General features: G+C 48.3%; 1 protein-coding gene, 1 long non-coding RNA gene and 1 pseudogene across 12 annotated transcripts in view, besides 2 other annotated features; 1 reads left to right on the forward strand and 2 right to left on the reverse strand.

The window, feature by feature from the left end:
- The first annotated feature begins 7,949 nt into the window (after window positions 1-7,949).
- LOC105371812 (uncharacterized) lies at window positions 7,950-10,236 on the forward strand. 2 transcript variants are annotated; one of them, XR_007065830.1, is made up of 2 exons: window positions 7,950-8,145; window positions 8,637-10,236. It is a non-coding gene; the product is annotated as an uncharacterized LOC105371812 (long non-coding RNA). The 2 variants fall into 2 exon arrangements; XR_934824.3 differs by lacking the exon at window positions 7,950-8,145 and adding an exon at window positions 8,428-8,516.
- Window positions 8,139-9,056: an enhancer, noted in NCBI's record as "H3K4me1 hESC enhancer chr17:46829979-46830896 (GRCh37/hg19 assembly coordinates)". NCBI's record gives its function as "activates a minimal SCP1, AML or CMV promoter by ChIP-STARR-seq in naive H9 embryonic stem cells {active_cell/tissue: H9 hESC(naive)}" and the evidence as "EXISTENCE:reporter gene assay evidence [ECO:0000049][PMID:30033119]".
- Window positions 9,109-10,098: an enhancer, noted in NCBI's record as "H3K4me1 hESC enhancer chr17:46830949-46831938 (GRCh37/hg19 assembly coordinates)". NCBI's record gives its function as "activates a minimal SCP1, AML or CMV promoter by ChIP-STARR-seq in naive H9 embryonic stem cells {active_cell/tissue: H9 hESC(naive)}" and the evidence as "EXISTENCE:reporter gene assay evidence [ECO:0000049][PMID:30033119]".
- A 7,519-nt stretch (window positions 10,237-17,755) lies between the features above and the next one.
- The window catches only part of TTLL6 (tubulin tyrosine ligase like 6), a 54,996-nt gene continuing 45,870 nt past the window's right edge, over window positions 17,756-26,881 (reverse strand). For 7 of the 10 annotated variants that reach the window (XM_017024491.3, XM_017024493.3, XM_047435804.1 and 4 more), the window contains 2 exons: window positions 25,250-25,619; window positions 24,511-24,776 (listed from right to left, as the gene is read on the reverse strand). In XM_017024491.3, the coding sequence (XP_016879980.1) occupies window positions 24,511-24,776; window positions 25,250-25,619 (636 nt within the window). Of the gene's footprint in view, window positions 18,496-24,510; window positions 24,777-25,249; window positions 25,620-26,881 lie in introns of those variants that run through there. The other 3 variants (NM_001130918.3, NM_173623.4, NM_001366314.2) reach the window with 2 other exon arrangements.
- Window positions 21,076-21,369, reverse strand: RN7SL125P (RNA, 7SL, cytoplasmic 125, pseudogene; annotated as a pseudogene).

Raw genomic sequence — 26,881 nt, forward strand, 5'->3', positions numbered from 1 at the left:
GAAATTTGGTCTTTATCACCCACGATCCATGTTCATCTCACATCTCAAGGTCTCTCCTGTACAGCGTGGAATTGCTCTTGTCTGGGATTTATATTCCCTTCTGTGTAACTTAAAAACTCCAGGCCCCATATCTTCAAAACAGGCTTCTGTTCAGAATGGGTGTGAGTCTCCCGCAAAGAGCCATTAACACTGCAGAGCCTCTTGGTCTGCAGCATTAGGGAGTCTACATTTTTGAAACCATTTTGGGATGGTAGGGTTGGGGGCTGAGTCTGTTCATGTAAACAGGATCTGGAAATGGTGAGGGAGTGCATCTGGCTACTCTACATAGCTCCACCTGTTTGCCAGGTGCCTTCTCCAGACCCAGGCAATGCAGAGGAGGGGGTTGGGTGGGGGAGGGGAAGGGATCCAAGGGAGACTGTGAGCCCCCTACCCAGAGTTCAGCCAGAGAAGGAAAGGGAGACTCTGGCATTGCACCTGGGTTCCTGCCCCAGAAAAGAGGGTAAGATCTGATTTTTTTTGGCGAAGGAAGGAAGGAGAAACTGAAGGAAGAACGGGATGGTTTATTTTCTCTCAGTTTTTGTCTGACCCCTGGGTTGGAAGTGGAAGGCTCTGCTAGGGGCCCTGCACTAAGCCAGTTCTGAGCGGAGGAAGCCTCCAGCTTTTTTTCTTCCTGGTTTTCTTTTCCCTTTTGCCTCCTTTAATTCCCTTTCTTGACCTGGAAGCCAGACATTTTTTTTTCTAGGTAAAAGAGAGGCTAGATTCCAAATACCCCCTCAGCTCCCTGCAGACCCTGGAACTCTGTCCTGACTGGTCCCTGAAGTTCCTCTGGGCCTTCCAAACAGTGGATAAAGTCTGTGTCTCAGCTAGAGTCTCAGCCTGGAATTTCTTTTTCATGCATGGGCAGGCCTAGGGACTCTAAACTTTTGAAAAAAAATAAAATTTTCTTCCTTTCTCTGACCTACTTGAACTTTCAGTTCCAGGAGGAAGGAAATAAATGTGATGTAGTTTCAAAGTATGTGGGAATTTAATAAATGCAGGCCGTGGAGGGTCACTTTCCCCATGAAGACAACTTTATCTGCCCCACTAGGCATCTGAAACAGTGCCATCCGAAACAGTGCCATGCGAAACAGTGCCCACAAGCACCCACCTGCAAAAAGACACAGTGACGGAGCAACAGCAGCTGCGTCCTTACACGCAGATGAGCTGATCCAGGCTTTGAAGGAGCCAGTTAACCAGAGATGGGTTAATTCCTTTGCCAGACCAGAGGTATTGAATCCAGAGAACCCTCACTCCAGAGAAATGGAAGAAGTCTGTGACAGACAGGCAGAGGGACAGAGGGACAGATGGGAGCTCACATAGGGAAAAGAAAAAGGATGAAAATTGTAGTTAAAGAAATCAGGGACTTTCAGGGCACGCAGAGCAGAGCTGATGGGAAGTCCCAGAGAGCTGGATAGGAGGGTAGTGGAGGCTGGGATTATCCAGAACTTGTTTTAACACAGGTATACCTGGCTCGGCTCAGCACCTGCTAGGTTGGCTTTCTAGGATGACAAAATAACCAGCCAGCCCTGCCAATTCTGGGAGAAATCAGCCAGAGCCATTGTTTGGCTTGTCTTCGACCAAACAATAGTTGATTGGCTGGAATTTTCACTTTCCCTGAGTTGTTAGCTCCTGTAAGGAGCTGGTCAAGTCCCCTTGCCCTTAGCTAAGAGTAGACCCCAGCCCCTTCTCTCCCGGCCAAGAGCTGATCGACCTGTCAGTGCAGGAAAATCTCTCAATTACTCACCTCTACCGATTGAATATTGAGAGGGAAGTGTTTTGGTTTGTTGCTTGTAAACAAAACAATCTAGAGTGATCCAGAAGTTTTATCAGCTCTAATCTCATCTCTTTCATCAAGTTATAGGCCCAGAATCAGGACTAGAGACCCACCCACATTTTTAAAGCCCCAGACAGCCTACACGTTTGTGTGTGTGTGTGTGTGTGTGTGTGTGTGTGTGTGGTGTGCGTGTGTTTGGTAGCCTGTATAGGGAAGTTTTTATTTTTATTTTCATTTTCATCATTAGTCTTATTCTTGGTTATCTCTACTTGTTTGATGTGACAGAGCCACAGCTATATTCACAACAAAGAAGGCTGAAGCATTTGGGCAAATACTCAGATTCTAATCTCCGCCCCAACCCCCCACCCCTCCATTTAGCCACATCAGTCAGAGGGCCCCCCGCCAGGGGAAAGAGAGTGGAATGGGGGATTGAGAAACAAGATTCCAAGGGCCGTGCTTGGCTGACAGTGGTCTTTCCTTCTTTTAGTAGTTTCTTTGGAGGGACTGATGAGGGACAGCAGAATCCCCAGGAAGGGAGTGGAGGAGGTGAAATGCTGCCATCAGTGAAATGGAGAAAGAAGGAAAGCGGAGGGTTTGCTGGTTCCGGGGGGGAGTAAATCAGTCGCTTTATAATTCCACGATGTTTGCATCATTTTGGCTTCTGAGAGGCTGCGTTTTGAGGAGACACCAGAAGCCTGGGAAGTTCGCTTACTGGTTCTCAAGTCAGAGTCCCCCTTCCCGGGGCTCCTTCTGGGGACTCCGGGGGAGAGGGATCTCTCTGTCCATCCTGCAACTCCTCTCCTGGCATAGATGCCCCGCACCCCCACCTTGGGCCATCCTTATCTGCCTGTTCCCCATCACGATTGATCCTCCAGGGTCGCCAAGGCTCCTGCTGACTACAAAAACATCCCCAAGATTCCCTTCTTGACCCGGTTCAGGCATATCTCTTTATACTTCCATGTCTCCGTTTCTCTATATTTTTACTGTGGAGGACTCAGAAGAGAGCTGAGGCTATTGTCCGGGGAGGAAAGGAATTCGGGCAAATTTGTGGGTAGGGGCCCAGACCCAAGACCCGTGTTTCTCCTGCGTGGGTTGGAGTCTGTCTCAGGTCGCTCCAGGGACATCAAGAGCCCGCGCCGCCGAGAGCCCGCGCCGCCGTCCAGCGGGAAGCAGCGGACCCACAGGGGCCTCCAGCCGCCTCCCCGCTCCCGCCCCGTGTTTCTCCTGGGCCTCCAGCTCCGTGGAGAGAGCTGAGAGTTCTCGGCCCGCGGGCTTCCTCACCAAATCCCCAAAAACCGACGCAGGCACAGAGGGCTGACTGTGTTTTGAGTAATGCACGCGAGGCAGTCCAATCCGGCGAGATGGCCCGAAGCGGGGCCCAGCGGTCGGGGGTGTGGGTCTGGAGAGAGAGGGTCTCCCCACTTCCTTCCTCCGGCTGCTCGGTCACCCATCGACTACCCGGGCGGAAGCGGGGCGCAGAGGGGCGCAGAGGGAGGCATTGCCCTCCAGGAGTATCTATTCCCATCGGGGTATGGTGAATGCCATCTAGGCCCATGCTCCATTCCCAGGGCCCCCTCGGTTCCTCCAAAGGCGTCCACCCAGAAGCAGCCCCAGTGTCGCGCATTGACTCCCGCCGGCCAAGTCGCCGCCGAAACAGGATCTCCTAAAGCGGGCTCCACCGGGTCCCAGGGCGAAAAGGTCCGAAGATCTACGCTGTCGGAAAGACCTGGAGAACTCGGGAAGCCCAGCAACAACAAACAGGTTTCAACTTGGAAACAAACCATTAAAGTTTGGCTTAGTTTTTGGTGTGAATGGTGCAAATAATTTCTCCTCTTCACTCTTCAGTCGATCTCAGCTGTATAGAGCTGCTCTGCAAGCTAAAAAGAAATTAGTATCTATTCCCCCCGCCAACAATTTTTTTTTAACCCGGGCTACCAGCTTAAGCAACTGGTATCATTCTTGTTGAATTAAGCTCTGAAAGCTCGCCTCAGAAAAAAAGTTTTTATTTTAAAAAACGAATTATTAAGTCGGCAGTCTGATTTTTATTGGTTTTAATTATCTGAGAAAACTCTGCCTTTTAGTTGTGATAACGAGTATGTAGAACAGACCTTAATAAGCAGAAATGTAATTAATTTAAAATCCATAGTAGTTTTATTACCTACATATTTAAAAACAAACACTACTAAAATAATTTCCCGATTTTAATCTATCTTTAAAAAATAGGGGCCGGTGTAGTGGCTTACAACTGTAATCCCAGCACTTTGGGAGGCTGAGACGGGAGCATCTCTTGAGCCCAGGAGTTAGAGACCTGCCTGGGCATTAGAGTGAGAACCCCAGTTTCTATTTTTTTTAATAAAATAAAGAAAAAGAAAAAATAGGTAATGTATGCTAAAGGAAAGAGTCAAAAGTTACATTGGGGACATACATTAAAAAGTAAAATAGGTCTTCCTCTCACCTCTTATCCCAGCTTCCCTTCCAAAAAGCAACTACGATTCCCATAGTATCCTTAGAGAAATGTATATAAATAAAAATTTTTAAGACAAATGACAACATTCCACATACCGAGCTTTATATTTCGCCTTTTATTTTAAAAACTTAGTGCAACTTAATGACGATTTTATATCTTTACTACTGCCTCTTCCTTTATAATGGTTCCATTTCGTTTTCTGAATATATCTTAATTTATGTAATTAGATGACAATTGAGAAATATTTAGATTGTTTCCAATTTTATTTTCTTCTTTTTTCTGGTGGTGCACACAATATACACTATTCTGTGTATATGCAAGTATATCTGTATGATATATTGTTAGAAATGGATGATCTCAAAGGACTTGTGCACTTTAAAATTTTGAAGTGGTTGAACATATTTGCAGAATTACAAGCAATTTGTATGTTCTTTTCCAGAAAACTTTGTTCATGTTTTCCCATTTTCTGTTGTTTTTCATTGTTCTCGTAATTTGTTTTTATCGTATTTTGTGTTTCGTTGTTCTCATAATTTGTTTTCATGGTATTTTGCTAAAATGTAAGATTGTGTTTCGGTTTGGTTTTGTCAATAAAAGTTATGCTCGTGACTAATGTAAAGTCTCTCCGTCTATACTTATTGGAATTTTCCAGACAATTTTTCCTAGAGATGGAGGACAAAATGGAGGGGATGCCGAATGTCGACTATTGTCAGCTTAGATTTTTTTCTCTTACGGAATTCCGACCTTATTGAAAAAAATGAGGAGAGGTTTGTTTTGTTTCTTAATCATTTCTTCGCCATCTCTGACTCTCTTTAAGGTTAGAAGACACGGAAAAGTTCCACATTGGGCCGGGATGGCAAAGGCTGGATCACTGCAGAACAAAGACCTCAGTCCTCGCATCCCCACCCCGACCCCCGGCAGCCTCTTTCGCTCTAAGCCTCAGCCTAGGGCAAACTCCCCTCCGCAGGTCATCAGCCTCCCATGCCTGAGCCTCACGGAAAACCACTAGAAGGAAAGTAAGCTAGGGTCTAAGCTGTAGCCCCTCCAGGCACCTGGCTTGTTGACATTACCCCTTCCTCCCAAGCAGAGGGGTGTCGGTCAGGCAGAGGGGTGTCGATTGCCTTGGCCTCCAGTTCCCAGTGAACTAAGAGAAAGCAGCTGGTCCCCATTCCCAGCTCCTGGGACCTAGTGATCGCCATGAGCTTATGTATGTTCCTTGGAGGACAGGCGGCTGCTTAGGAGTGGGACAGTAAGGACTAGGCTGGGTCTGGAGGGCTGGCGGGGCAGGAGTTGGGGGCCAGGTAGGAAAGCCAGGGGTCGAAGGGATCGATTCTAGGGGCCGCAGAGGCTACTCTCGTGCTCTGGAGAAGCACCGCATCTTTCTCCGGACCCCCGCGCTCAGCCAATCGCCCCAAAGTCTCCAGGTGGGGGCTCCGCATTACCAGTCTTGGTCGCAAAAGCAGCCCTTTCAATCGCACCGAATTTCCCCTGGTGTGAAAAGGCGCCATCGCCAGCATTTTGCCGGGGTTTATGCCTCAATCCCGCATTCCAGCCACTTCCACGAATTACTTGGAAGACAGAATGGTTTGTGCCCATTTATCCTACCTGGAGCACAGACAAGAAACGGCCAAAAAATGAAGGCAGATTTTTAGAGGAAAGGCAAAGAGAGAAGTCGGCCTTACAGAGTTCCATGGCTCCGAGCCTGGTCTACCTAATGCAGGAGAGGAAATCACTCACATTTCCTGAGCATGCTCTGTGTCTAGGAACTTGCCAGCAGCTTCCAAGATGGAAGGGACTTCAGTCAGCCTCAAATGCCTCACCACAGCGTTTAAAGTTTGAAATAGAGGTAGACTTTCCCCCAATGTTTTGTTATTAAATTTTACCCCCTCAGAATTATTGGACATGGGGTACAGGATTTGGTAAATTGAATTTTTAAGTTTTTATTTAAAAATCATTTATGGCCTGGTGCGGTGGCTCACGCCTGTAATCCTAGCACTTTGGGAGGCCGAGGCTGAAGGATCACTTGAAGCCAGGAGTTAAGACCAGCCTGACTAACAAAACAAAAAATATTAGCTGGGGTGATGGCACATGCATGTAGTCCAGCCACTTGGGAGGCTGAGGTGGGAGGATTGCTCAAACCCAGGAGGTGGAGGCTGCAGAGCTATGATCACATCTGTGAGCACCCACTGCACTCCAGCCTGGATGACACAGTGAGTCTGTCTCAAAAAACAAAAACAAAAAAATTATTCAGATAATGATTTATTATTATTATTTTGCCAAAAGACTTCTGCCAGCTATGGCCTGAGGGGCTTTATCTTATTTCTGACTGAACAACATTTAACTTTTTGGTCCCATTATCAGGTTATTTCAGGTGAGAAAATGATTTGTCCAAACAATTGCCTGAGTTAGTGTAAACTGAACACTTGTGCTTAAGATGTCTGCTCCTGTCTAGAAAGGGAGGTGGTCCTTCCAGGAAGGAAGAGCTCCCATCTCCACAGCAGACATTTCCACCCTCCTTTGCAGGTACCAGTGCCCTTGGGTGTGCATGGATGCCATTCCCCATGCTTCCACTCTGCTTCTCTGTCTGCAGCTTGTCTTCCAGAGTGTGGGGAAAGAGCTGGGGAAGAATCTAAGGGTGGAGCTAGTGTTGCACGGTGGTGGCAGTGGGGGTGCCCGAAGCAAGCAGCTGCAGCAAGACAGACCGGATTTCTAATGGCAGCTCCCTCCACCCTGAACAGATGGGCTGCAAACCTGGGGCCTTAACTCACATGGGCTTTGTCTACACTCCATGATACCAGGGGGAAACCAAAATCATCCTGATGCTTCTCATCAACTGGTTGTTTCAGTGTAGATGCTGTCTCCTATCAGTCTGATCCCATTTGTGGGCAAGATCTTTAAAAGCAAAGGGAAATAAGAAGCTGAGAATATGTTTTAATAGTAACAGTCTGAGTGGACAACTCAGTTCTTCCCTCTTCCCCTCATATTCAGGGTAGAGCGGGGAAGGATTTTAAGCTTCAATTTCTGAAATCATGTTGACCTTCTGCCCGCCCTGGTGGGTGCCACTGCACCTGTCCTCAATGTCCCCTTTCTTTCTGTTTAGTTTTACTGTTTCCTGGAGCTCTTCTGAGGCAGTCAGTGTCCAGGCAGGCAAGTGAGTTGTGGTGGGGTAGAGGGTGAGAGGACACTGTTAGACCACCTGGGTGTCACAGAAAGTTTGCTGCAGTCGAGAAGCCTGAAGGAAGGGTGGGGGCTGGGGTGGAGGAGTGTATGGCGAAAGACAACAGTGGTGTGGTGGAGTCCACTGCCTAGGAAAGCACAGACGCACCTCCAGGCGACCCTGCAGACTGGGGTCGGGAAAAGGACAGGCTGAGAAGTCTAGAAAGGCAAAGAAGTTAACGATGTTTGGCAGTCTGAGGTCTTATCAGTGTGTTGGGGTCAGGTGGGGGCCGAGGCAACAAGCTCAGGCAGACGCCAGCCGGGGCTGGGACGGTGCAGGTGAGGAGGGGCTGCCTGGGGGACAGCCCGCCTCACTGACCCAACCTGGGACAAGGTAGTGGCTGGGTTAGGGGCTGGGGTGTGTCTTGGAGCCCCCAGGTGACAGGAGAGGGAGGAAGGGAGTGACTGGTGAAACATTAACCCCCTCAGGGTTCTGAAGGGAAGGGGAACATCCTTAGAGGACACAGGGAGAAGACAAACGTCCCTTCATCCTGAGATTCACTTGGAAATCCCCTGAACTTCCAACTCCTGGCTGATGAAACGGAGCAAGTTGTCTCTGCCTTATGGCCTCCATCACCAAGCCTGAAGGAGAGTCTCTCAGCCCGGTTTGGGAGTAAACCCAAAACCGTTCATTCGTCAGGGAATGCCCCAGGTTGGTTCACGCGAGTTTTAAAATGAATCGGAGGTGAAATGGAGCTCATTACCCTCTCTTCAGCCCGACCCTCAATCTTTGGCAGCGAGGGGCAGTTATGGGACGGGGGGCGGGTGGGAAGAGCGCCCAGGGCCCCCTCCGGGTTCTCCCACGGTTTCCCGCATCTGGGCCTGGCCAGCGCCTTTGGGAGGAAGGGCCTAGGCGCGGTAGGGATGCCTGGGAGTCTAGGGAGTGGCGGGGGTGTTTCTTGGCCCGGCAGGGTGGGGTTTCCAAGCGTGATCTCCTCGCCCTGGCAGAGCCGGGGTGCCGGGTGGGGGCAGGCTCGGGGGCCTGCCTGCGGTGAATCAGGCTTGTGACCTCAGGCCGTCCAGGTAAACATCCTCTGCGCTTTGGAAACTGTTGGGACTAGAAAGGAGCGGGCGGCAGGGAGAGGGAAGGGGGAAGGAGGGATTCTGAGTGGAGGAGACCTCTGAAATCCTCTCTCCTGCCAGGAAACCAGGGCGGTCTTCCAAGCGGGCAGCCACGTTGCCTACTTGAGGCCAAGGCAGAAGCATCAATCACATGGGGCGTAGTTTCTGTCTGGCTAAAGAACGGCTCACGCGGACCTCGGGAATGCGACTGTGGAAACGACGGGGAAGCTGGAAGGGCTGGGTGGCGGGGGAAGCTGGAGGGCACAGCTTCCAGATTCCAGTTTGTTAAGAATCACCTGAAGGACGTTTCTCTGAAGGGAAAGTGGGCATCTGTGAAGGGTTAGAGGCACATACTTCAACTTTCCCTAGCACAAGAGTGGAAATCCATACTCCTTGGGGAGGGACTTTGTCACTGAACCTTAAGAAAATGGTTACTGGACTGAGCTTGGTTACTTATGCCTGTAATCCTGACGTTTTGGTAGATGGAAGTGGGAGCATCGATTGAGGCCAGGAGTTCTAGCCTAGGCAATGTAGTGAGACTCTCATCGAAAAGAAAATAAAAAAAAGAAGAAAGAATCTCGTGGCTGTCATTTTTAATGTTGCTGGTGTGCAGGGAGGCTGTTTTGACTCTTATTTCCATTCTTGGGCCACCGGCAGAGCAGGGCAAAGCTATGAGGTTACATAGACCTGGCTTAGACCCCAGTCCCATTCCCCAGCAGCTTCAGGCCCAAGCAACGGTCTCCATCTCCCTGAACACAGTCTCCTTATAGGTAAAATAACTGCAGAGTTGATGCTGGAATTAAATCAATGCAGTGGCGAGCCCAGCGCTGCAGAGCCCCGTGCTTAGTGACCAAAATAATGTCCCGCCTGCCTCATCTTCCTCTCGGATTTTTGCCAAGGCCAAACTGCGCGTGTCCCAGAAAAAAACCCTCGGACACTTGGCCTCTGCCCTGTCTCAGCCGAGTGACTAGGATGACTGGGAAGTGAATCACAGGAAAATCACCCAAGCCCACTCTTCTCCACAGCCGGTGAGCAGAAGGAAGGAAGCAAAGAAGGAAGGGAGGAAGGGAAGAAGGGAGAGTTCAGTTCCCTTTCGTCGTTCACACAGTGGTCCTCCACACCAGGAAACCTAAGGGCTCTGTGGAGGGCCAGGTGCCGTGGCAGCAACACTCCTCAGGGCCTGTTTCAGCACCCCATTTACGTGGCACATGAAAAATTCAGGATGAACGCCCTGGCTGAAAGCTCTTCCTGGGTTTGGGACATCAGAAGACCTTCCCGGGATGGGCTCTTGTCTCTGCAGTAGCTATGACCTGCACATAAACCTGTTTCCTACACTGTAAAATTGGCGTAACCACCATTCCCTCCCAGTCTTTCTCTGGAGTCCTAATGGGAACAGTGACGGAATGAAAGTGACCACGCTGGAACCCGAAGCGCTGTTCCCCTCCGTGGCTTCACACTGATCTCCACACTAGAATTCCGTGTCTGCAGTTCAAGTTCAAACTACTGTGGTCGGGGAAGGGCTACAGAGATCTCGCTTGGCCGTGGAGTCACCGGCCCCGTCCAGTCTTGCTTGGGACACATACTGGTTTACACTCTCTCGGGTTCAGTTTCCTCATCTGTAAATGGGGCTCGTATCCCCCTCATAAAGTGGTTTGGGGGATAATAAAGCTTGTAAAAGCGCTTTGCCCCAGTGCTTGGCACATAATACGCGCTACGTTAACAATGTCGCGTACACGCCCGAACCGGAGGAACCCCATTCCACGCTCCTTCTGGAACCGAATTCACCTCTGAGGCTTTGGGGCTTCAGAGCCGGAGCCGCTTGGGCAAAACCAGCAGAACAGCGAGAGGGAACGGGCTGGTCTAGCCCTGCCCTGAGCATTTCTACTGAGACCCCCGGTCCTGCTTCTTCCAGCCTCTGCTGGATTTCTCTCCGACCCCTCTGGAGCGAAGCCCTTTGGCCCTGCGTTGCATGCGGCACGGTGCGGGTTCGGGCTCTGCGCTGGAGCCGGGATGCCCTCCGGCGGAGGGTGCGCGTAGGCGGCGCCTGGGCGTGAGCCCCGCCTGCAAGGCTCAGCGTCGGGGAAGCACTTTTCTCGTCGACCCGGGGTCTTTTTCCGCCAAGGAGCTCGGGGCTCAAGAACTCGGGACTGGGCTGTGGGCGGGGCATGGTTTTCCTCTCTGGGCGTCCTAATCTCCAATTTCAGGCAAATTCGCTAGGAAGAACCTTCCCGAGCGCGCCTTCTCCAACAGGACCTCCAAGCCAGCCTCACGCACGCAGGCCTGGCTCTCTCCTGCAGAATCCCCACCTGCCCTATAACTACCCACTTCAGATATGGGGGAATGGAGGAGATATTCCAATCACGCCATCTACCTACAGTTTCCACGGCCCCTTCTGTTGAATGGTATTTTCCTTTAGGGTCCCTAGAAGCAGAGCAAATGAAAAGGCCAGGGGGAAAAAAAAAAAAAAAAGAAAGAACCGGTGAATTGGCTCTGAGCCCAATAAACGGTTCCTCTTTCCTTCTCCGGTCCTTTCCCTTCCAACAGAGCGATTGAGAAATCATTTCAATAATCAGCAAATCGGCTGGGAAATGGAGAACCAGAAGGGAATGTCCTATCCAACAGCGCTTTTTCTTCTCTCAATAGAAGCCCAGTCTTTCATTTAGATATGAATATAGCTACTGTGCATTTCTCCATTAATAAATATAAATTTCCAAACTAGGTGGTGAGGGATATGAATTTCCATGGTACATTGGGCCCTAGAGACACCAAGAAGCTTCAGGTCATAAGGGGGTCTATTCAGGCTATGTCCAAGCACAACCAAATTATGGCATTAAAAACAAGAGGTCTTGATTCAGATCTTTCACGTTTTAATAACAGAGGGGGATGCTGCTGATATAGAAAAGTGATTGAAAATATTTGTAAACATATACTTCTCACTGGACCTCCAGTCATGTTGGTGGGTGTGGTAGACAGAATCAAGTACGTCAACTAGCTGTTTTCTGGTTTAGAAACAAAAAATACCCCCAGCCCCACCCCCACTCTGGAGTCTTTGCTTCTCAACTACGAAATGGAAAAAAAAGAACTCAAGTCCCATTTAGACTGTGGGAGCTCAGCCCATGAAGGGACTGTGGGAATTGACATGGAGAGTTTGGGGTGGAGAGGTGGAAGGGTGGAGGAAATGAGATCGGCAGCAGACACTGAGTCAGAGGCCTGAGACTAAGGCCTGGCTCTGTGTCCTTGATATCCCCAAGCCTCAGTGTTCACATCTATAAGATGAGGATAATATTGATCTCACAGAACTGCTGTGAAGAATCAACCACATAATATATGTGACGATGGTTTTTCATTATCAGCCTTTCCTTGGCCTGGACCAAATTGAAAGGAGACTGTGGGGCCAGGCAAGGTGGCTTGGATCATGCCTGTAATACTAGCGCTTTAGGAGGCTGAGGCAGGAAGATCCCTTGAGACCAGGAGTTTGAGACCAGCCTCAGCAACATAGTGAGACTCTATATCTTAAAAATAAAATAAAATAAAATAAAATAAAATAAAATAAAATAAAATAAAATTAGCCAGACATGGTGGTGCATGCCTGTAGTCCCAGCTCCTCAGTGGGGAGAGTTGGGAGGATCACTGAGCCCAGGAGGTCAATGCTGCAGTGAACCATGATCTAGACACTGCACTCCAGCCTGGGTGACAAAGCAAGACCCCGTAAAAAAAAAAAGAAAGAATGAGGAAGAAAGGAAAAGAGAAAAAAAGAAAAGAAAAGAGACCGTGGCAAAGAAGGCAAGGGTCCAGCTTGGGCCCAGCCCAGGGATGGGTATGAGCATCCCCATGGCTACTTGATGCCCTGTCACGTGGGTTCAGCTGGCTTAGTCTCACCCTCTGCCAGATCCAGGAGGAAGTGAGAATCCATTACAGTGGGCCTGTCTCAGCTCCTGTTTGCTTTGGCCACAGCGTGATGGTGTCTTGCTGGCTTTGCCAACAGGATTTAGGTGTTTGCTCTCCCGCCTGGCATGGCTGCTAAGGCAGCTGGCATTCTGCTCCTGCTTATCATGCTGGCTGAGACTTCCTGCTGCTGCTGCTTCCCCTTTCTCAGATGGATGGGGTCCTATTTTATTATCATTGTCACAAGACTCCTATGCTTGAGAAAGCAGGGTGGTGAAAAGAGGCCACAGACTTTCCCTTTCAAATGGCTCCCCAAGAAGTACATACTCAAGGACTAAGATGAATCAGGAAGTACGCCAGGAAAAGAAATGAGACAGAGAGCCAGAAAAAACAGGCACTAACCCTAGATCTTTAAAGGACTTGCTTTGCTTTCCACACTTCTTTCCTCATGCTTTCTGAGGACAGTAGTAGATAGCGGGAGTAAAGGGGAAGGGAGCCCCTTGCTGAAGGTCACCCCACACCAGCCAGAGCCCACGGTTGGAGAGTCTTGGAGGAGAGTCTTGGAGGAAACATGATTATCAGGTGCCTGATGGGAAGAACATGTGCTCAGAATAATCACATCCCCTCCCATAGCCAAGGCAACTCCCAGAACCTCCAGCCACCTCCCCAGCACAGTGTGCATTCAGAAGACATGAAATCCCCTCCACATGACACACTACCTGCTTGGCTTTCCAGGCTGCTAGTGAATAACTTACAGTCATGGCTGGAGAATGCAAAATAATTGAAAGCAATGCTTAGTAAATTGCAGTTTCAAGGTCTTCATTGCCTTCCTAACAATTTGCAAAACTCATTTTATTGCTTTTTTAGATTCCTCGAATTGAAATACCACTGCATGCTGTAATTAAGCTAAGTGACATGCCAGCTGTAAAGGCAAGGGTTGTGAATGATTACATTCAGTTCATGTAATCATACAGGATGAGTGTGGGGAGGGAGCCTACAACAGCTGCCGGTCTGCCTTGCTTACACTCTCTGCCAGGGTGGAAGGAAAGCTGGAATCTAAACTCACTTTTTTTTAAAACAGGGTCTCCCTCTGTCACCCAGGCTGGAGTGCAGTGGCACAATCATAGCTCACTGTAGCCTCAGCCTCCTGAGCTCAAGCAATCCTCCCACCTCAGTCTCCCGAGTAGCTGGGACTATAGGTGTGCAACACCATGCCTGGCAAATTTTGTTGCTGTTGTTGTTTGGTAGAGACGGAGTCTCTATGTTGCCTAAGCTAGTCTCAAACTCCTTGAGCATCCTCCCACCTCAGTCTCCCAAAGTGCTGGAATTACAGGTGTGAGCCACACACTCGGCCTGAAGTCACCCTTTTAAGGCTAGTAAGAGTTACCCATGCTGTCTGAGGCGGCCTAATCCAGTGTGGGGTAAGCCAGGCAAGTGGTTCCCAAACCTGACTAAGCATCAGAACTCCCTGGCACAGCTTTTTATTTTTATTTTATTTAAGTTATTTATTTATTTATTTATTTATTTATTTATTTATTTATTTATTTTGAGATGGAGTTTCACTCTTGTTGCCCAGGCTGGAGGGCAATGGCGCGATCTTGGCTCACCGCAACCTCTGCCTCAAGCGATTCTCCTGCCTCAGCCTCCCGAGTAGCTGGGATTACAGGTGCCTGCCATCACACCCGGCTAAGTTTGTATTTTTAGTAGAGATGGGGTGTCTCCATATTGGTCAGGCTGGTCTCGAACTCCCAACCTCAGGTGATCCGCCTGCCTCGACTTCCCAAAGTGCTGGGATTACAGGTGTGAGCCACTGCGCTCGGCCAGGCAGAGCTTTTTAAATCCAAGTTTACCTCCCCCTTGCTCCAAAGTGACTAATAAAGTCTAGGGAGAACCACAGGTCTTTACAATTGCCCAGATATCTCTGAGCCTGGAGATGAGAGAACCTGCCCCATCCAAGATGGCTATTTTTAACAACTTGGTCTTCAGAAACGTCACTTTTGCACTTGGAAACTTTTCCTTCAGTGTTGCTTTCATAAATCTGTCTGGGGACAGGAGTTCATCCAACTGCTTTATGAACAGATACCTTGATCTCTATCCTCCCAAAGCTCCTTCTCCTAATGTTCCCAATTTCTTTCAGCGGACTCAGTTCCTTTGAAGCCTTCTTTATTGTTCCTTTATCCTCTGCCACACAGTCAGCTGCTAAGTCCCAGCTCTACGATATTTTTCTCACTTGCCTCTTTTTTTTTCTTCCAGCTTATTGAGGTATATCTGCCTCCTTTTCTCTCCCCCAGCCAGCCATCCTGATAGAGGCTGCAAGGGCTTGAATCCTGGACCACTGTATGAGACTCCCAAGCCCTCTCCCACCTTTGGGTCCCTCCCCTTGCCAAGCCACTCCACCATCTACTACTAGATTCATCTTCCTAACACTAAATAAAATCTCCTACTCAAAAACCTTCAGCAGTTTCCCACTGCCTGCTGAATTAGGTAAACACTACCCAGGATAACAGTTTAGATCCTCTGCAATATTTATTCATTCAGCAAATATTTACTGAATTCCTATTATGTCCTAGGTACTAAACTAAAAGCAGAGAATATAAAGATGTAGAGACATGGTACATTCCAGTGGACAGACAGCTGCACAAATTCATTATCATGAGGAGTGCAATAATGGCAATATAAACAAAGGGTCACTGGGTTTCCAATATGGTCTCTTAATCTATCTTTCCATCTTCATCTCCCAATTTCCTTTCTGATCCAGCCAAACTGGACTAGACCTTACTTTTTTGTTTTTGTTTTTGTTTTTGTTTTGAGACGGAGTTTCACTCTTGTTGCCCTGGCTGGAGTGCAGCAGCATGATCTTGGATCACTGCCAACTCTGTCTCCTGGGTTCAAGCAATTCTCCTGCCTAAGCCTCCCGAGTAGCTGGGATTACAGGCGCGTGCCACCACACTTGGCTAATTTTTGTATTTTTTGTAGAGATGGGGTTTTGCCATGTTGGCCAAGCTGGTCTCAAACTCCTGACCTCAGGTGATTCACCCACCTCGGCCTCCCAAAGTACTGGGATTACAAGCGTGAGCCACCACGCCCAGCCTAGACCTTACCTCTTGATCATGTTCAGGGTTTTTAGTTTCTTCCAGGCCTCTATACCTCAGTCCATATCTTATATCCACCTTTTAAAATCCTATTTATCAGCCTGGTGCGGTGGCTCACGCCTGTAATCCCAGCACTTTGGGAGGCTGAGGTGGGAGGATCACAAAGTCAAGAAATCGAGACCATCCTGGCCAACATGGTGAAAACTGTCTCTACTAAAAATACAAAAATTAGCTGGGCATGGTGGCGGGCGCCTGTAATCCCAGCTACTCAGGAGGCTGAGGCAGGAGAATAGCTTGAACCCAGGAGGCAGAGGTTGCAGTGAGCTGAGATCATGCCACTGCACTCCACCCTGGCGACAGAATGACACTCCATCTTAAAAAATAAAAATAATAAAATCCTATTTGTCTTTTCCTGCCACCTCAAATATCACCTCCTCCAATGAAGTGGACTTGGTCCTCCCAGCTAGGTGTGAGGGTGTTTCCTTCTCGTCTACTGACACTCTTTTTTAGTGGCACTTAACTCAGGCTAGTTATCTGTGGACCCGCCTTCCTCCACTGCACACTCTTTGGGAGCAGGAACTGCCACAGCATTTTTCTGTCTCACAGAAGCACTGTGCTCTGCACAGCCCTATGAGTGAACAGACAGGAGGTGGGTGGGGCTGGGAAGGCAGCCTGATATTGTGCCTTCTCGTTGGATAACCTTGAGCTGTTAAAGCCTCTAGACAGGATGTGCTACAAAATTTGGCAGGTCCACTAAAAAATGAAAACGCAGAGTTCCTTGTTCAAAAATGATTCAGAATTTCAATATGGTGGCAAATACAGGGCTCTTCTAAGTGCAGGACCCTGTGCAACTGCACAGATTGCATGTCCTGTCTCTAGGAGCAAAGGTGCTGGCACCACATGTCCCACAGACAGCCAAATAATTCTGGCATCGTCTTATTAAGATACTTCCTTTTTATCAGCTCAGGAATCTCGACTGGCTGGAACTCGTGACCAGGAAGAAAAGGGGAGAGATGTAGAGATTCCAGGAAGCCCCTTTTCAGCAAGTCTTACATCTTTTGCTTGGGCCAGGCTATGATCTCTGACAACCTGATGAGAACAATGGGAAAAGTGGCCTCACATCAGTCTGTTTTGAGCCTTCCGAATGGCGTCAGGAATGGGCTTGTGGAGGTTGAGATGGCAATTAAGCTTTTACTTGTCTGCTGGGATAACCAGGCCTTGGCTTCTTTTGCCATCCAGGTGGGCCTTGACTATTTACTAAAAAGAAAAGAACGCTATCCCGGGATCCTTGAAAACCAGGCTGACATGGGGATGACGTGTACATATGTGTGTTTCAGAGCTGGACACAAATGATTTGAGTCTAATGTCTCCATTCAATATCTTGGATAATTAAGGTCTTTTGCCTGAAGGGTACTGTGGGCTTCAAGCATCCCAGGTTCCCCTGACATTCTTGAGGCCAGAAATTCGTTCTATTGGAAATCCATAAGGCAAAGCCAGGTCAACACTGTGAAGCAAGCACTTGTCTTCAGAACTTACTTCTTCCACCTCTGCCTCATATGCCCCAAAGGTCTCACCAGGGATCAGACTCAGGAAGAGTGAGTGAAGCAAAAATGGATCACATTCCTGGAAAGGGCAGAGAGTGAGCTGGCAGATAAGGAAAGATGTTATGCCTGCGGTCTAGCCAGGCCCTGTGCTGGGCAGAGTTGGTGGAGTCAGTTGCCCAGACAGGGCAACGTCCACGTCAGGCTCTGGGCTCCTAGCAAGGAGGGCAGGGCTTACTGTAGACCATTTGTCCCAAGAAAGTCTTCAAAGCTTCCTATTTTTAATGTATTTGGAGCTTTTTTTTTTAGACGGAGTCTCACTCTGTTGCCCAGGCTGGAGTGCAGTGGCGCGATCTCAGCTCACTGCAACCTCTGCCTCCCAGGTTCAAGCGATTCTCCTGTCTCAGCTTCCTGAGTAGCTAGGACTACTAGCTACCATGCCCGCCACCATGCCTGGCTAATTTTTGTATTTTTAGTAGAGACGGGGTTTCGCCATGTTTGCCAAGCTGGTCTTGATCTCCTGACCTTGGGTGATCTGCCTGCCTCAACCTCCCAAAGTGCTGGGATTACATGCATGAGCCACTGCGCCCAGCCTGGAGCTTTCTTAGTGAGGGGTACTCAGGATAACTGTCTCCCCACAACCCTCCTTTCCCATTATCCCTCCAAATCAGGCTCCTCCTCCTGGCAGTAAGCATGGCAATTTCTTTTATTAATGGATGCCTGAAGGGAAAGTGTAACATTTCTGCAGGCTGATAGAAGAAGCATCTTCAGGCTGGGTACTCTCGCCTCACCTCTGTTTTCACTGGTGAGATTAAGTTGGGCTGGTGAGGGAGGTCACCAGAGGATGCTCGGGCACTGAGGTGGCAAGTCTTTGGGCTGGTGGGGATGGGCGGAGGTCGGGCCTTGACCTTGTGAAGTTGCAGCTGCCTCAGTTCTCTCACTCAGGGCTCAGAGTTATGCACCATGCCCATCCCTGACCTCATCTTTTATCTTGGAGACGAAGACCAACTGGCATAGTTCTGTTGGTGGACTGAGGGCTTTTGACTCCTGGAAATCATGAGTCCTTCTCTGAAACACTACTCCCGAAGTTGCTTTATCTGGGGGAGTATTCTGGATGATGGTGCCATGTGAAGAACCCAGAGAAGTGCCACTGGTACGGCAACTGGAGTGTGTCCTGGGGCAGCACCAATCCAACCCCAGAAATCATGGTCCTGTAGCACTGTAAGCTAACTGGGAGGGAACAGAGGCAGGGCTGTTGGCCCCATTGCTGCTACTAGGAACTAATGGAAGACCAGTATATCTAGATGAGCAAACAAAACTTCAGTTGATTCTGTGAACACTGGAGACACTGTCGGAAGAGACACATTGTTTCCTGCAAGTTAAGAGGTAGGAAGGGAAAAGTGGCAGAGATCCAGTCTGATTCTGGAAAAAAAAAATTTTTTTTTTAGATTTTCCTTTAAAATGGCCTCCAGAATATTAAAGTCAATGAACTCATCATCACCATTCCTATCTAGTGGATCAAGAGACGCTTAGGTGACTTATATCTGTAGTCACCAGAAACTCATTCTACCTACACAACATTCATCTTCCTGTAGCCTTCTTGCCTGAAATATTGGATATGGATCATTTAAGAGCAGCCAAGATGGCTGGCTGGAGAGAATGTTATAGTGGTTAAGAAGCTGTATGCCCTTGGACAAGTTACTCAACCTCTCTCAGCCTTGGTTTCCCCATTTGGAAAGAGACAACAACAATGCCCCGAGGACTGAGACAATATATGCAAAGCTTTTAGTACACCAGTGGGAAGTGTGTCTTGGGCCAGTTCACGCTGGGCTCATCACCATCAGCACAATATCATCCTCATCAGCAATAGCATCACCATCATTGCAGGTACCATTGATTCAGTAAGATGCCAGGCATCCCACTTTACCAAGCCATGAGTCATCCTTAAAATCCTACAAAATGAGGCCAGGCACAGTGGCTCATGCCTGTAATCCCAGCTCTTTGGGAGGCTGAGGCAGGTGGATCACTTGAGGTCAAGAATTTGAGACCAGCCTCGTCAACATGGAGAAACCCCATCTCTACTAAAGCTACATCCAAACATTAGCCAGGAACAGTGGCACACCTGCAGTCTCAGCTACTCAGGAGGCTGAGGCAGGAGAATCAGTTGAACCTGGGAGGTGAAAGTAGCAGTGAGCCAAGATCACACCACTGCATTCCAGCCTGAGCGACAGAGCAAGACTCTGTCTCTAAAAACAAAACAAAACAAACAAACAAACAAAAAAACAGAAAGAAAAAGTTAGCTAGCGGGAGGCTGAGGCAGGAGAATAGCTTGAACCTGGGAAGCAGAGGTTGCAGTGAGCTGAGATCGCGCCACTGCACTCCAGCCTGGGCAACGGAGGGAGACTCCAAAAAGAAAAAAGAAAAGAAAAGGAAAGTTAGCCAGGCATGGTGACAAGCACCTGTCACCTCAGCTACTCAGGAGGCAGAAGTGGGAGAATCTCCTGAGCCTGGGAAGTTGAGGCTGCAGTGAGCCATGATAGTGCCACTGCACTCCAGCCTGGATGACACAGTGAGAACCTGACTCAAAAAAAAAAGGAAGATCCTACAAAATAGGTTGTTTATCCCCTAGAATTCAACTCTTATACAGATCTGCACCATGGACTCAGTGACCAACCCACTGTGAAAGTGGGTCCAGAGGAAGAAGAATGATATTCTAGCCACTAAAGCAGAAAAATGCAGGAATGTGTCAGGGCGCCATTCCTCACATGGGTCAGGATGGGTGCCAAGTTCATGGCCAGATGGTAGAGAAGGAAACATAGAGCTGTTTGTCCAGTCCATCACTTGTGTGAGGTTGGGCAAGTCATTTAACATCCTCAACCTTGAGTTTCTTCACTTGCAAACTGGGCATAAGGTAATAACGTCTGCCTTGCCAACCTCACATTGTCAATGTGAGGATTCTATGAGATATGATCTGTAAACCTGATGTGTGGAAGGTGTTATTACTCTTACGCTTTCCAAAGAAACCCCTGATCCTCCATTGAGGCCTCTGCTTGCTCTTCCTTCTTTCCTTCAACCATTATTTATTGTGCAGAAGCCCTCTTTTCAAACCACATTCTGCTCCGTCTGCAAATCAATGCATTAATATCATGCATTCCAATGGACATTCTGCTGTATATAGTCTTTTGGGAGTCTGCTTTTTTATGTGTAAGTCCTTTATGGTCCGATTAGTTTGGAGAGAACTTTTAGAAGACATTATTTGGCCTAAAAGCAGGGGGCCAGTTCTGAGATCTGGTGACCCCATACGGTATTCTAGGAGGCTCTGCTTGGTCTTTGTCATATCTGCTACCTGCAGAAATGCCTCCACTGAAGAGCCACTTATTGTCACCTCAGCTCTAACTAAAGACTAATATGAAAAGTATCATTTAACAGACAGATAGTATGGCTTCAAGAGTTTGGGGCTTGAGAATCAGAAGCATCTGACTCAAATCCTTGCTGTGACAATTAAAACTGGGGGACCTGCTGAATGTTAAGCCTTATGCTCTTTGAGTATCAGCTTTTTTTTCTTTTCTAAAGCTCAAGGCCAAGTGCAATGACTCACGTCTGTAATCCCAGAGCTTTGGGAAGCTGAAGCAAGAGGATTGTTTGAGGGCAGGAGTTCAAGATGAGCCTGGGCAACATGGGAGACCCTGTGCTACAAAAATACTTTTTAAATTAGCTGGACATCATGATGTGCACCTGTAGTCCTAGCTACATGGGAGGCTGAGGCAGGAGGATCGTTTGAGCCCTGGAGTTTGAGATTATAGTGAGCCATGATCCTACCACTGCACTCCAGCCTGGACAACAGAACAAGACTGTCTCCAAAGAAAATAAAAATAAAGTGTACAACTGTGATTGAAATTCAATTAGATAAAATATTTATCTAGAAGAGTGCTGGCGCCTTTATAGTCGGCTAGCAAAAAAGGGTAACTATCACCATCTATCATCCTGATTTTTTCTTTTTTTAGAGATGGGGTCTTGCTATGTTGCCTAGGCTGGAGAGCAGTGGATATTCACCAGCGTGATCCCACTATTGATGAGCATGGGAGTTTTGACCTGCTCCATTTCTGTCTTGGTTTACCCCTCCTTAGGCAACCTGGTGGTCCCCAGCTCCTGGGAGGCCACCATACTGATGCCAAACTTAGTGCAGATACTTGATCAGGGTAGCGCATTACAGCCCAGAACTCCTGGACTCAAGCAATCCTTCTGCCTCAGCCTCCCCAGTAGCTGGGACCACAGGCACTCGCCACCATGCCCAGCACCATGACTAATACTAACACATGGCCATGCCCTCAGCCATTGCTTATTATGGCAGAAAAGATCTAAGATGCCACATGATAAACTGCTCTTTCAGGGAAAGAAGTCTTCCCTAAGGAACTACTAAACTTATTTTTACTCATCTAGGAGAAAATATTGAAACCCTGTCTGCCTAAAAAATACCAGAGCTTCTTGGGGAATCTAGCCCACGTTGCTAAAAAGTGACACGAAGAATCAGCATCTGATGTCAGAGGTATTCACCAAGATTCAACTGATGGGGAAGTTCTCCCTGTTTCCCAGCTCACTACAGCTCCAAGCGGGTGAGGGCCAGTGTACACAGGGATGTACCTGGAGCTTGGGGGTGGGGAGAGAAACCAACAGAACCAGTCCCAATCTTTGAGGAGCCCCCAATCTTGAGGGAAGGAATAAAGTTCCTGTCTTCAGGGAGACCCCCATCTGATGGCAGAGACATAGTCCATGCCACTAGAGACTCTCTAGTATGATTGGACAGACAAAAAGGACCAAAACAGGATGCTGTGCCTGGCCTTTTCTGCTAAGAGGTTCAGAGCTAAATTCAACGGTCAATGCAGGAAGCACTTTATCACACCCTCTTCATATAATGATCTCTTCCCTTTCTTCGTGTGGCTTCTGATCATTATTATTTCATTTAACAGTCCTACTGAATACAAGTTTTCATTGTAATGTGCTACATCATCCTTTTTTAAATAGTAGAAACAGACTGGGTGTGGTGGCTCATATCTGTAATCCTAGCATTTTGGGAGGCCGAGGTGGGTGAATTGCTTGAGGCCAGGATTTCGAGAACAACTTGTCCAACATGGCAAAACCCTATATCTACTAGAAATACAAAAATTGTCCGGGCATGGAGGCACATGCCTTTAGCCCCAGCTACTCAAGAGGCTGAGGCACAAGAATTGAAGATAGTGGTAGTGGGTTGGAGCTCCTTAGGGATCAGAGTTTTGCTCCAATAACAGGCCCACAGGTCAGGGCTGGCTGTAACAGGCTCCTCTGCCCAGGCCTGGGTCTACATGTAAGACAAGTACTTATTACCCGTATGTTTTTGTTGTTGTTGTTTTGTTTTGTTTTGTTTTGTTTTGTGTTTTTGAGATGGAGTCTCGCTCTGTCTCCCAGGCAGGAGCGCAGTGGCGTGATCTCGGCTCACCACAACTGTAGCTGGGACTACAGGCACGTGCCATCATGCCCGGCTACTTTTTGTATTTTTAGTAGAGATGGGGTTTCACCATATTGGCTAGGCTGTTCTCAAACTCCTGACCTAGTGATCTGCCCACCTCGGCCTCCCAAAGTGCTGGGATTACAGGCATGAGCCACCGTGCCTGACCTATTACCCATATTTAAAAGACTTGTTCAAAAGACAAATTCCCAGGGCCCCTTCCCAGCCCTCTTATGCCAGAATTCCCAGGGGGTTTGGCCTGAGAAACTACAGGCTTAAACAAGGGCCCTCATATGATTCCCATCATCAGGGAAATGGGGAAACATCAGGCCCAGCTCTTCTCTGAGCATGGTGAGAGGACTATCAGAATCAACTAGAGGAGCTTCATAAAATGCAGATTCCTGGGCTCTCCACCCAGGACCACTGAATCAGAATTTCTGGGAGAAGGCCCTGGAATATGCATTTTTACAGGAACCCAAGGTGATCTCTATGGGCTGGATGTTTCCTTGCAGGCCCTCCTGCAGTGTGAGCTACTGGTCACAAGGGGCCAGGTCAGAGTATCTGCTCACAGTAAGCTTTGCGTGGCAGGGTGGAGGGAGACGATTCACATCTCTAGCCTTCTTCTTTAGACAGTCAAGCAGCAAAGATCCCTTAATTCCACAGCTCTATGTTGTGGAGTTCTCCGAAGTTTTTACATATGACCTTCCCTCAGAAGCACTGAAGTTCAGACGGAGGGCATCTTACCATCTCCTGGGGCCTTTTGCACGGTGGAACCAAAGCTTCTCAAAGGCCTTTGGTTCCACATCTCAGTCTCTGCTGTCCTGTTGCTCTGTCCCCTCAGCACACTCCATTACAGGGCCAGCCTTTGGGGCAAGTGATCTAGGCCTAGACCAGGCGGCATAGCTTGAAGGATGTGAAAATCAACCCATTATGGTTGACATGGTTCTACTTCTGGGATCTCCATATATGACTATCTCAATTTTAGCCATAAGTGGAAGACAAGGCAAAGTGCCTAGTGGGGGCAGATCAGTTCTACCAGAAATATATTAATACATAGCAAGGGGGTCACTTTTTTTTTTGGAGACAGAGTGCTGCTCTGTCACCCAGGCTGGAGTGCAGTGGTGCAATCCCGACTCACTGCAACCTTCAGCTCTGGGCTCAATCAATCCTCCTACCTTGGCCTCCCAAGTAGCTAGGACCATAGGCATGCTCCACCACACCCAGCTAATTTTTTAATTATTATTATTATTTTTTTGAGACGGAGTCTCACTCTGTCACCCAGGCTGGAGTGCAGTGGCACAATCTCAGCTCACTGCAACCTCTCCCTCCCGGGTTCAAGCAATTCTCCTGCCTCAGCCTCCCGAGTGGCTGGGACCACAGGCGGGTGCCACCATGCCCAGCTAATTTTTTGTATTTTTAGTAGAGACGGGGTTCCACTGTGTTAGCCAGAATGGTCTCGATTTCCTGACCTCGTGATCCACCCACCTCGGCCTCCCAAAGTGCTGGGATTACAGGCATGAGCCACTGCACCCGGCCTAATTTTTAAATTGTTTGTAGAGACAGGGTCTTGCTATGTTGCCCAGGCTAGTCTTGAACCCCTTGCATCAAGTAATCTTCTCGCCTCAGCCTCTCAAGTAGCTGGGACCACAGGCATGTGCCACCACACCCAGCTAATTTTTAAATTTTTTGTAGAGATGGGGTCTCCCTTATGTTGCCCAGGCTGGTCTCAAACTCCTGGGCACAAGGGATCCTCCTGCCTTGGCCTCCCAAAGTGCTGGGATTATAGGCATGAGCCACTGCACCCAGCCAGGGTCACATTTTTACTAAGTCTTCATTGTCTACTTACCTGTATGTCTTTATCAATCCATCCATCCTCCTACCTACCCAACATTCCAGAAAAACACAGAGCACCTGCCAACGCACCAAATTCATTAAGGGAATATGTGTGGGCCTACCTAGCTCCTCTCACATCCTTTTTGGCCAGAGATCAGGCAATGGCTGTATGCTTCTTGATCCTGCATACATGGGTCCCTCATAGCACTTGCGTGGCTTCTACAAGGCCTTGGATCCAGTTGGGCTGGAGTGGCAATCACCAGCAGGTCCCTCAGAGTAACATTATAGCTCTGAGGACTCTGCAAGAGGAGGGAGGACACATCCAGCTGCCTCTTCTCGCCAGAGCTGTCACTGCGGGAGTGGCACTCCCCAGGCAGGGAGGGGTTTTCTGGAAAGGCAAAGTCAGAAGCATCAGCGATTTGTGCTGCTGGATTCAGCACAAATTCCTGGTGAAGACCACCTCCCAGTAGGGTCCCATGGCCTGTAACTGCCATTCAAAGCTCTTTGAGCCAGAATCAGCCATTGCTCCTTTTCTCCAAATAGTTTTTCTTCCCCATTTTTTCATACTTAACATCAGTAACTGGTGCAGCCTCAGCTGAATGAGCCTCATGTGAATGAGAACCAGGAAGTGGTGAAGAAGGGAACTGGACAGCAATCTGTTTTTATCTTTTTTGTCTTCCCAATCAGACTAGAGACTTCCTAATGGTATGGACTGTGTCTCCACCATCAGACTGGGGTTTCCCTGAAGACAGGGGCTGTCCCCCCTCCAAAGACTGGGAGCTCCCCAAAGATTAGGACTGGTTCTATCGGTCCCTCTCCCCTTTAAGCTCCTGGCACATCCCTGTACACACTGGCACTCACGTGACAGGTTATTCATCCCCAGCTTGGGGTTGTAGTGAGCTGGGAAGAAGGAGAGCTTCCCACTCAGTTGAAGCTTGGTGAGTAGCTCGGATATCAAATGTGGCTTGTTCATGTCACTCTTTAGCAAAGTCCAGTTTGTGTTCGGACTCTCCCAGAAGCTCTTGGATTTTGTGGGCAGAAAAGATTTTAACATTTTCTTCTGGGTTAAGTGTGGAGGGGTCTGCTGCTTCTTGCATTTAAAGGATACCACCCTGTCCGTCTCTGGGCCACTGTACTCAGAGCTGGCGGTCACAGCCAGGGTTGGCGGAGACTTTGGGGAGATTGAGAGTTGGGTGGTGGATTCTGGGGTGGTTTCTACGGAGGTTAAGTGCTGGAAGAAAAGACAGTTCAAAATGAGACTGTGGAAAGCAAAGGGTTCCTTCCTATGCTATTTTTTTTTTATTTTTATTTTTTGAGACAAGGTCTTGCTATGCTGCCCAGGCTGGCCTCAAATTGGGCTCAAGTGATGCTCCTGCCTCAGCCTCCTGAGTAGCTGGGACTACATGTGAGTGCCACCATGCCCAGCTCCCATGCTATTCTTGATTAAAATAAACAGATTAAGAGCTGGTTCATTAGCAGCAAGAAAGATTAGGTTAGAATAGTTTCCTCACCATGAATTGGTTAAACAGTAAGGCAGAAGACAGTAGGAGACTCTACAGCCTCCTCTAAAAGTCTCTAAACATGAAACAGATTATAAACAATAAAGATTGGCAATCAGAACAATAGGTATTATTATTGTTGTTGTTATTATTATTATTATTATTATTTGAGACAGGGTCTCACCCTGTCACCCTGGCTGGAGCGCAGTGGTGCAATCTTGGTTCACTGTAACCTCCACCTCCTGGGCTCAAGCAATCCTCCCACCTCAGTCTCCCAAGTAGCTGGGACCACAGGCATGCGCCACCACATCTGGCTTTTGTATTTTCTGTAGAGATGGGGTTTTGCCATGTTGCCCAGGCTGGTCTCAAACTCCTGGGTTCAAGTGATCGGCCCACCTCAGCCTCCCAAAGTGCTGGGATTACAGGCATGAGCCTGTAATCTCCTGCCTCCTGGAGGCAGGAGAATCACTTGAACTTGAGAGGCAGAGGTTGCAGTGAGCCGAGATCACACCATTGTCCTCCAGCCTGGGTGACAAGAGTGAAATTCTGTCTCAAAAACAAACAAAGAAACAAAAAAAAACAACCAAACAAACAAACAAAAACTAGTCTTGGGGAAAAAAAGAAACTGCACTTGATGAGATCTGCAGCTTTGCAGCTTTTTGTCCGAGGACACCCACAATCCACATGGTGTGGGCAGCAGAAGCCACAGACTTACTGGCTAGAGGTAAAGTTTGAGGCAATCAGAGAAGCCAGAGAAACAGAGTGTAAATTGTGAAAGTGTGAAATCCTTTCATGTGCAGTTTGGCGTGACTGATAAACTACACATGCTGGGGGGTGTGGAATGAGGAGGAAAGGATCTCAGGGGACCCAATAAAAAATAGCACTGGAGGCTGAAATAACTAATAAGATTTCGATTGCTGCTGACCACAGTAGATTTAGAATGTGAAGTTAATGGATGGCTCAAATAAAAATAACTCTTTAGGCTGGGCAAGGT

This window comes from Homo sapiens, chromosome 17 (assembly GCF_000001405.40).
Source record: "Homo sapiens chromosome 17, GRCh38.p14 Primary Assembly".
Taxonomy (NCBI): Eukaryota; Metazoa; Chordata; class Mammalia; order Primates; family Hominidae; genus Homo; species Homo sapiens.